Below are 10,630 nucleotides of genomic sequence, written 5' to 3' on the forward strand. Positions count from 1 at the left end.
GCTGGTCTCGAATACCTGACCTCAAACAGTTTGCCTGCCTCGGCCTCCCAAAGTACTGGGATTACAGGCATGAGCCACTGTGCTCGGCCTGTGCTAGAGATCTTAAACACAAATTCCTCCTAACTGAAACTTTGTAGCCTTTGAACAGCACATGCTCATTTCATTTCCTTACCCCCACTCCCATCTGCTGGTAACTACCGTTGTATTTTCTAAGGCAGTGGCCCCCAACCTTTTTGGCACTAGGGACTGGTTTTGTGGAAGACAAATTTTCCATGGGCAAGGTTGGGGTGGGGATGGATTTGGGATGATTCAAGTGCATTACATTTATTGTGCACTTTATTTCTATTATTATTACACTGTATCATATAATGAAATAATTATACAACTCATCATAAGGTAGAATCAGTGGGAAGCCCTGAGTTTGTTTTCCTGCAACTAGATCTAGGTCCCATCTGGAGGTGATGGGAGACAGTAACAGATCATCAGGCATTAGATTCTCATAAGGAGGGTGCACCCTAGATCCCCCACATGCACAGTTCACAGTAGGGTTCTCATCCTATGAGAATCTAATGCAGCTGCTGATCTGACAGAGGTGGAGCTCAGACGGTAATGTGAGCAATGGGGAGCAGTTGTAAATACAGATGAAGCTTCCCTCACTTGCCCTCTGCTCACCTGCTGTGTGGCCTGTGGCTCGGGACTGCTGTAAGACATGATGTATTTTTGGTTATTTGAAAGGTGGACATAGTAATGAAAAGAATTTTACATCAAACATTTGTTCTACTTAAGTATATTTTAAAACAAAAATGTTTGAGGATTTTAGATTTTTAAACTTTAGGAATCCACTTTTCTATTTTGTTTCTTTGAGAAAATAATTCTTGAAATATGAGACTTGTACAATTTCCAAAATCTTTGAGAATGCATTTCTCATAAAACATCACTTTGTGTTTACATATATGTGTATATCCATGTATATATATACATGTACATACATGTATACACATAGACATACACATTTTCCCTGTTCATTTACTTTTATATAGCCAACCACTTATAAAGACACTAAAAGCTGACAGCCACCAATATTACTCTGGGGCTGTGTATATAATAAGTTATATAACTTTTGCACCTCATTCCTTCATATACATCATATATTAGTATACCCATATTGTGATCAGCTGCAAGTTTTAGCCTTGTAGTTGTTGTTTGTTACTTTTATATCCTTTATTCTTTTATAGTTTTATAGGTTATCTTCCACTGTTTATTTTGTAGGGTTCTCTGTGTATATGAAAAGCCAAAAAAAAAAAAGCTCCCCATTTTGTGAATAGCTTTTGTTTCCATAATCTATTTTCAGGTCAGCTGCTTGTTATTTGGAATTTGTTTTCCCATAAAAAATAATGTTGGCTAAATTTTTGAGCCAACACACAGAACCTATTTCTTCACAACTGACTTAATCACCATTTATAGCTTGTTTTTTGGGATAAAATGCATTGCACCTTCTAACTCTTGTAATTGTAGCTGCTGCTGCTTTTCTTCTACTTTTTTAAAGAGACAGGGTCTCATGCCAGTCAGAATGGTGATTATTAAAAAGTCAAGAAACAACAGATGTGGTGAGGTTACAGAGAAATATGAACACTTTTACACTGTTGGTGGGAATGAAAATTAGTTCAACCATTGTGGAAGACAGTGTGGTGATTCCTCCAAGATTTAGAACTGGAAATACAATTTGACCCAGCAATCTCATTACTGGGTATATACCCAAAGGAATATAAATCATTCTGTTATAAAAATACGTGCATGTATATGTTCATTGTAGCACTATTCACAATAGCAAAGACATAGAATCAACCCAAATGCCAATCAATGATAGGCTGGATAAAGAAAATGTACATATACACCATGGAATACTGTGCAGCCGTAGAAGGAACAAGATCATGTCCTTTGCAGGGACATGGATGGAGCTGGAAGCCATTATCCTCAGCAAACTAATGCAGGAACAGAAAACCAAATACCACATGTTCTCACTTACGTATACCACATTTTCTTTATCTCTTTATCACTTGAGAGATATTTGGGTTGTTTCCACCTCTTGGCAATGGCCAATTGGTTTTTGACAAAGGTGCAAAGCAATTAGTGAAGAAAGGGTATTCTTTTCAACAAATGATGTTGAATCAATTGGATATTCATGTGGGAAAAAAAAGGTGCATCAACCTAAACCTCACATCTTATAAAAACATGAATGCAAAATTGACTTAGATCTAAATGTAGAACTTAGAACTGTAAACTCCTAAAAGAAAGAACAAGAAAAAATCTTTAGGACCTGTGGGTAGGTAGGCAGAGAATTCTTAGACATGACTGGAAAAGAATTTATATATAAATTCTTATATATAAGAAAAATAAATTAGAGTTCATCAAAATTAAAAACTTTTGTTCTTCCAAAGACACTGTTAAGGGACTGAAAAGCCAAACTACAGACTGGGAGAAAATACTTGTAAATCACATATCCAGTGAAAGGACTTGTATCCCGGCTATGTAAAAAGCTCTCCAAACTTAACAGTAAGAAAACAACACAATTAAAAAAATGGGCAAAAGATATGAACAGACACTTCACCAAGGAGAATTTAGAGATGGCAAATAAGCTCATAAAAAGATTGAGGGGCATCTGGACCTGAACTTGTATGTGTGAATGAGTTTGTGTTGTTTAGAGTTTCTCCTAGAGGCACAAGAGACTAATGGTGATGTCATACTCCCAAGTGGCTTTGGGAAAAAAATGAGGCAAAGTTAAAAAAAAAAAAAGATATTTTACACCTTTAATTTCTTGGAGAAAATGTGAATGAAAGTCACAATGTGACACCACCAGATACCTACTAGAAACAAACCATGGGACATTCAAACAGTGGAATGCTTCTTAGCAATGAAAGGGAGCAAACTATAGATACATGCAACACATTGGATGAATCTCAAAGGCATTGTGTTGAGTGAAAGAAGCCAGTTTCAGTCAAACACTGTATGATTCTATTTATATGAACATTCTGGAAAAGACTAAACCACAGTGATAGAGAACAGATCAGTGGTTACCAGGGGTTAGGGATGAGGTAGACTGTGACAACAAAGCAACAGCAAAAGGGAATTAAAAGTTTTAGGCTGAGGAAGCTGCTCTGTACCCTCAGTGTGGTGGTGGTTACACAAGTCTATACATACATTAAAACTCATAGAACTGGCCAGGTGCGGTGGCTCACGCCTGTAACCTCAGCACTTTGGGAGGCTGAGGCAGGCAGATCACCTGAGGTCAGGAGTTTGAGACCAGCCTGGACAACATGGTGAAACCCCGTCTCTGCTAAAAATACAAAAATTAGCCAGGCATGGTGGCTCATGCCTGTAATCTCAGCTACTCCAGGAGGCTGAGGCAGGAGAATCACTTGAACCCGGGAGGCGGAGGTTGCCGTGAGCCGAGATCGCACCATTACACTCCAGTCCAGGCAACAAGAGTAAGACTGTCTGAAAAAACAAACAAACACAACAAAACAAAAAGCCTCATAGAACTGAACACTGAAAGAGACAACTAGTAATTGGAGGACATAGCTCTCATGAAATTGGCAATATTTTATGAGATAAAGAAAACAGAAAAGGAGTAACTTTTTTTTTTTTTCTTAAATAGCCTCTTGTTCTTCTTACAGTTTTAGGCTCTTTTTTATACCCAAATATTTACCTTATTTTTGCAGGTTTTTTTTTTTCCTCCTAAATACCCTTTTTGGTTAGGTGTCTCCAATATTCTCTAAAATTCTTTAATTTTTAATAAACCGTATAGGTTAAATCTCAAAACAAACTCTAGAAAACTACTCATCTGTCTTCTTATGGATTTTTGAAAGATTGAAAGTTTCTTTTTACTTTTCTATTTTTTAAATTTTTCTTTGAGCCCTGACCATGGCAAGGACAGAATAGTTCATAAGTGCTATCCATAGGGTCTTGGAAACCCTTGGTACAGATCGTTTCTGTAGTGATAGTTGTTCTAACACAGTCTGACCGTTAGCTTTCTCTGGTTTAGTGTTAGCTCTCTCACATAGGCTGGTTTCATTCTGAGTCTTATAGTTTCTATTATATTTGAACTTCTTCCTAGTACAAAGAATAACAAAGGATAAATTGTTGGCAAGTTTTTTTGGCAGAAAAGGTTCGAAAAGGACCATAAAATAGTGAGGGATCATGAATGTGATGTGTTCATTTAAAGAATAAATACGGGACTAGAATGTATAATGGGAACTTAGTGTGTAGGCACCAAAAGTTAATCTGAAAATATTCAGCATTTTTCAAATTCTTATTAGAATAGTCTCTTCAGCGCTGAGCTTAGCAACTTAAGCAAGATGTGGAAATAATTGCCAAGGTTCCTGAGAAGAGCCATGAAAATTTAAATAAGAGAATAGAATAATACCTTTAAGAGAAGGTTAAAAGAACTGAAGCTTCCTAGGGAAGAGGGGGAGAATTTGAAGCCTATGAACAGCTAGAACAGGTTGGTAACTCTTCCTTTCGACTGGCTACTGGTACAAAAAGCAATGTCCTTTGTTTTTCAGGAGGGATTTGTTGGCATATGAGCCTTTTATCTCCATTTAATGTATAAGTAAGGCAACTTACATTATTGTATGGCGGTACAATAATTATTAGTTGCCTACAGCATTGGGAAACTTAAGTCAAAGTCATAACTCATCTCTAACTAGTGGTATGACCTTAGTCCATTTCTTTAACTTCTGGGGCTTAATTCTTAATTCCTCTTATGTTTACAAATAAAGTTGAATTACTCTAAGAGTTTCTGTAACTTTGGATAATAATAATAATGTTTACCAACACTTACATAGTACATACTATCTGCCAGTCATGGTTGCCAGTATATATATTCATATATATTAAGTATACAGTCATGTGTAATTCTTGGAACTACTATGTGAGGTTAGTATAGTTACTCTTGAGGAAACTGAGACATGGAAGGTAAAGTAGCCCAAGGTGACAGGGTTAGTAAAAAGGAAAGCTGTGGTTGAAGGGAGGAAGTCTGGCTAACAGCCCATGCCCCTAACTCTGAACTTCACTATATGGTCTCCCTCTCCCATAATTCTACTGTTGCTTTGAATTGGATTTAATAAAAATGAAGATTTAGAGAAACTTCACGATGGTGTTTTTTTGTTTTTGTTTTGTTTTGTTTTGAGATGGAGTCTCACTCTGTCGCCCAGGCTGGAGTGCAGTGGGGCAATCTCGGCTCACTGCATCCTCTGCTTCCCAGGTTCAAGTGATTCTTCTGCCTCAGCCTCCCGAGTAGCTGGGATTACAGGTGTGCACCACTACACCCAGCTAGTTTTTGTATTTTTAGTAGAGACAGGGTTTCACTACGTTAGCCAGGCTGGTCTCGAACCTCACGTGATCCATCTGCCTCGGCCTCCCGAAGTGCTGGGATTACAGGTGTGAGCCACCGTGCCCGGCCTGTTTTTTTTTTCCTTACGGTAAAATATAAATAATAAATGCTTAAATTATAAGGAAGGAACAACTCTAGTTAAAATGATCCATTCAGAGGAAAATTAAGAAGGTTACTAGTTGTTAACAGTGGTTGTGTATATTTCATATAATATTTAGTGACCAAAAGAGAATATAAATCAAACTGAAGTTACTCTGAGGACTCTATATTCTTTGAAATTGTACAGTGGCTTTAAAAAAACTGTAAAAACAAACCCGAATCACTGTTTTTAAAGTCAGATTTAAGCAGACTGTGATTCTGCACGCCTCTGTTGTCAGGTCCTCCCCTGGGATACTAATGTGTTCTGGATGCCATATTTTAAGAAAAGCCCAACTGGCCTGAGGGATGGGATTTAGAACTGTGTTATGTAAGAAACAGTGGAAGGACCTAGTGGAAGGACCTGGGGATGCTCAGCTGGGAGAAGGAAGAATGATCTCAAATAAATGAAAAGCTATCCTTTAGAAGGATTAAACTCCATGGGATAGCGTTGGACCAGTAGGTGCTAGTTACAGAGTGGCAGACTTTAGCTTGGTAGAAGCCAGCCGAATGCAAAATTGGCTGACTTATGTGGTGTCGGTTTCTTTGTCAGGAGATTTTCAAGTGAAGGCTGAGTAATACCAGGAAAGGGATGTTACAGAGCAGATTCGTCCTGGTTTAGTTGGACAAGGTGGTGTTTTAGTTCTCTCATCACAGTGTCTGGCGTACGATATGTATTCAGTAAACCACTGTTAAATTAATGACTTAAAAAATGGAACAGGATAAATATTCTGATTATTTAAGACCATAGTGACTTATTTTAAAATGACTTGATTCTGTCCAAATTACAAGGAGAGATTGAGAGGGAAGAACATTTAACTTAATTTAGCTATAGGTTTGATTGCTTTCTAGTTCCTCTTATATACCATAACTTTCATCGCTATTATGTCAGTAATTACTATGTAAGTTTAAAATTGCACAAATTTTTATATGTATGCATGTCTCAGCTTATTAACTTGTAAGCTCTCTATTAGGACTATATTTTCATAGGTATTCCTTCACAGCACCAAGCCAGAACCTTTGTGAAATAATATAACGTGAGGGATTTCAAACTCATGCGTGTGTGTGCATGCGTGTGCATGTGGCAGGAGATGGAGGCTTGTTGCCCCTGTTCTGTTCATTTTCACCTTTCATTTATGTATTCTTTTTTTTTTTTTTTTTTTTTTTGAGACAGAGTCTTACTCTGTCACCCCGGCTAGAGTGTAACCTCAGCTCACTGTAACCTCCGCCTCCCGGGTTCAAGTATTTCTTCTGCCTCAGCTTCCCTAGTAGCTGGGACTACAAGTGTGTGCCACCATGCCTGGCTAATTTTTGTCTTAATTTTAGTAAAGACGGGATTTCACTATATTGGCCATGCTGGTCACGAACTCTGACCTCAAGTGATCTGCCTGCTTTGGCCTCCTAAAGTGCTGGGATTACAGGTGTGAGCCACTGTGCCCGGCCTCACTTATGTATTCTAATGCTGATTCTAACATTTAGAAGCCTTTACTGAACCAGGTATGAATCGTCTGATGTAGAAGGGACTATGTTCAGTGTTTGTTGCTTTTGTCAGGTGCATGTGAGGGAACCCTGGCTTGTTCAACCTGTCACCTCATCTTTGAAGATCACATATATGAGAAGTTAGATGCAATCACTGATGAGGAGAATGACATGCTCGATCTGGCATATGGACTAACAGACAGGTAAGATTTTTGGACTGCTTCAATTGTAATAATAATCTGGGAACATAGATGTTGTATTATGTTGTCTATGTAAGACCAGACCCATAAATGTAATAGTGTTCTACCAGGTTAAATAACAGTCACAGATTTTGAGTATCAGATATGTGGCATTTCTCTTTGTTTTCACTGTTCTACAGTTTAGACCTTATGAAATTTTACAAAAGTAAAAAAAATTAATTGGAAGTATAAGTTCTAGATCCTAACACCTCTTCTTTAGTCTCTTTTTACTCCAGGAACTAATATGTATCACAACTGAATGGAGGGGTTAAATCTAATGCTTTTATATTTGATAATTGAACACAATTATAATGGAAAGTTTCACCTATTAGAACAGAATTTTTAAAGAAACTTAATATATAATAGTAATTATGTTAAAATGAATAGCTCTTTTTCTAAGTGTACCTTAAAGTAATCAGAGCTTATTCTTGTTATTAATTAATAGTTACTCTTAAAAGTGGTGAGATTTACAGTAGCAAGTGACATCAAGTGATATCTTATTTTTTAAAAAAATTATCTAGTCTTTTGATTGGAGTCAATGAAGGTAGCTAGCTGATATACTATTTCAAGGGGTAAGATAATGAGGGCATATTACTTAATTAAGGTTGGCTTTGTTTAACTCTAGTTTGGTGACCTTAATGACAAATAATTTTTTAAAAATTAAAGATAGTAATAATAGTTTTATTTCATGTGTATTATATAGCTACAATTTTGTTATACACTTTTAATATAAACTACCTCATTTAATCCTCACAAACATTTTCAGGTCATTTGTATTTATTTAGAGAAGAAGAATCATTTTGTTCCTTTTATAGTTCATTTCCCTCTTGGTGGATGTGAGACTGATAACCCTGGGAAGAGAAACTGGTGAAATAGTATCTCTTTGGACACCAAAGCAGAGTGGATTGTGGCTACTGTCTGCCTGTCCTCTCACATCTTCAGTGCCGTGTTCTCTATGAGCACCTCCTTTCTTCCCCTTAACACAGAAACTAAATCCAATGACTGTATTAGTTTGGTTCTGAGAATTGTGTCTCTTAATAAGAGAGTTAAATCATAGCTAACTGCTTGCTCTTTTATACAGTTACAATTTGTAGATGCCTGTAATAGATAATATTCTAATTGAAAAGAAAGGGAAAAGGGAGAGCTACAGTTAGATACAAAAGGTCTATAATAAATGTAAGCTAGCAAGAGTATTGATGATAAAATTTCCAAGTTTTACAGCTACACAATAGAGAGCAAGGAATAGCTTTTATGGTGTTTTATAGCTGGTATTCTTAAGTACACAGCATTTTAGTAGAAATACTTTGTGGGAAAGAGTATAATGGGTTTCACAGGTAGCATTTACAAAACACATTGACATATTTGGAATGGAAAGAATTTTGCTCAAAGCTAGTAACCACATGTAAACTTATTTTTAGGGTATCAGAAAGTTTCAGAAAAAGAAATAAGGAAATTCAGCCTTTTAGTTCATATACTTACTTTAAATACTATGTAAATGTTTTTAATTTTTAAGCAAAAACACCATCGTTTCTTTTTTTTTTTGAGGCAGAGTCTTGCTTTGTCACCCTTGCTGGAGTGCAGTGACATGATCTTGGCTCACTGCAACCTCTGCCTCCCGGGTTCAAGCAATTATCCTGCCTCAGCCTCCCGAGTAGCTGGGATTACAGGTGCCTGCCACCATGCCCCGCTAATTTTTGTATTTTGAGTAGAGACGGGGTTTCACCATGTTGGCCAGGCTGTCTCGAACTCCTGACCTCATGATCTGCCCACCTTGGCCTCCCAAAGTGCTGGGATTACAGGCGTGAGCCACCGTGCCTGGCTTCAATGTTTTATTGGTTGTCCTTAACCTTGATTGTTGATGGATGGATGGATGATACATGGACAGCCTCATTGTTTTTTTCATACTGGTTACCTATCTCCCTTTTCCCATTAAAGGAGCAGCCATGTCTTATTTTACCATTGTATCTCTAATGCCAGATTCACAGTAGAGGTCACCAACTGCTTGCGGAATTAATAGTTGATGGAAAGGGAGATTCAGGAATTACCTGTGAGTTTACATTGGATGATTGTAATTGCTCCCTGCCACCAGTTTGCATGGGTAATCTACACAGAGGCCTCAGATTCCTTATATGTAAGGTGAGGATAATAATAGTACCTACCTCACAGTATTGCTGTGTGGAGTTAATGAGGAAATATATGTGAAGCTCTCAGAACAGTGCTTGGTGGAGAAAGCATTCATTAAATGGTAGTTGTTAGCATTGTAACTACCATCATATCGACTTATCTATTGGGAACTTACTGTAATGCCTAGGCACTTAAGTATTATTTCTAACCTTCAGGGTTAGGCAGTACTATCACCATGTTGTAGGTGGGGAAACAAGGTTTAGTTATCACGGATTTGCTTAAGGCTGCACAGCTAGTGGGTAACACCCCTGATTTAAATCCAGCTGTGTTGGGCCCCAAAGCCTTTAGTCTTTTACTATTTCAAGCTGCTTCTCTGAGTTGAAAACCAAACCCTAGAACTAAAGTAAACCTAATACCCAGTATATTTTCACCATCAGGGATATGTGGCAAGAGTAACTGGAGAAAATACCTTCCAGGTTTGCAGAAGTGTCAAAATGTTGTGGGACTCAAAGTGTGAAATCAGGGGAGCCTTGTTGTTTGTCTCCTTCTCTAGAAGTATGAGACACCATCTATACTGGTGGATCTTGGAGCCAGAGATCTTTAAGGAGGTAGAAGAAGTAGGAGAGTGAGAAACTAGCCACAGAGCGCCACTGCCTTATTCTCTAGACTGAGCAGGAGCTTTTTGTTCCGTCTCTTTCTGTGTTCCCATAACAGATTTATTGTTCTTCTATCACCACACTTGTGGTACCCTGCCATGTTTCACTGATAACTGTTTCCATCTCTGTTTCCCTTACTAAAGTAACCGTTCCTTGAAGACCAGCATCATCTTGCTATCTGTGTATGAATACCAAGAGTAACCAACAGACTCTCTAGAGCTCACTGCTGTCTTAACGAATTTGTCCAAATTGGCTTGCCACTTTTTCTCTCTTGCAGACAGAGCTTAATGCATAATTGAGTATTGTGAAGGCTGTTTCCAATTCTACAAATAAAGAACTCTTGATAGAGGGGATTTTTTTTCTATTAGTAATCAGTATTTCTCATGGTTAAGCACACTCCTTTACTCCAAAACTTCCTGGTGGTTCCTCCTTGCTCACCAGTGAAACACAGGCCCCTTAACTGATATTCACAGCTGCCTGTGGCTCTGGCCGCTTTTCTGGCCCATCATTCCCCTTGTCCTTGTTTACGCTGTGCAGCAACCAAGCTAAAACACCCATCTTGCTTTAAATGTGACTTGAGCTTCTTTGCATTGTGTTGCCTTTGC

The 10,630-nt window shown here is 37.9% G+C and overlaps 1 protein-coding gene across 2 annotated transcripts in view; it reads left to right on the top strand.

Annotated features, from left to right (window-relative positions):
* Positions 1 to 10,630, top strand: part of FDX1 (ferredoxin 1) — a 35,554-nt gene that overhangs the window by 20,508 nt on the left and 4,416 nt on the right. For both annotated transcript variants that reach the window (XM_047426566.1, NM_004109.5), the window contains exon 3: positions 7,080 to 7,209. In XM_047426566.1, the coding sequence (XP_047282522.1) occupies positions 7,080 to 7,209 (130 nt within the window). The remainder of the gene's footprint in view (positions 1 to 7,079; positions 7,210 to 10,630) is intronic.

Source organism: Homo sapiens, chromosome 11, assembly GCF_000001405.40.
Source record: "Homo sapiens chromosome 11, GRCh38.p14 Primary Assembly".
Classification (NCBI taxonomy): Eukaryota; Metazoa; Chordata; class Mammalia; order Primates; family Hominidae; genus Homo; species Homo sapiens.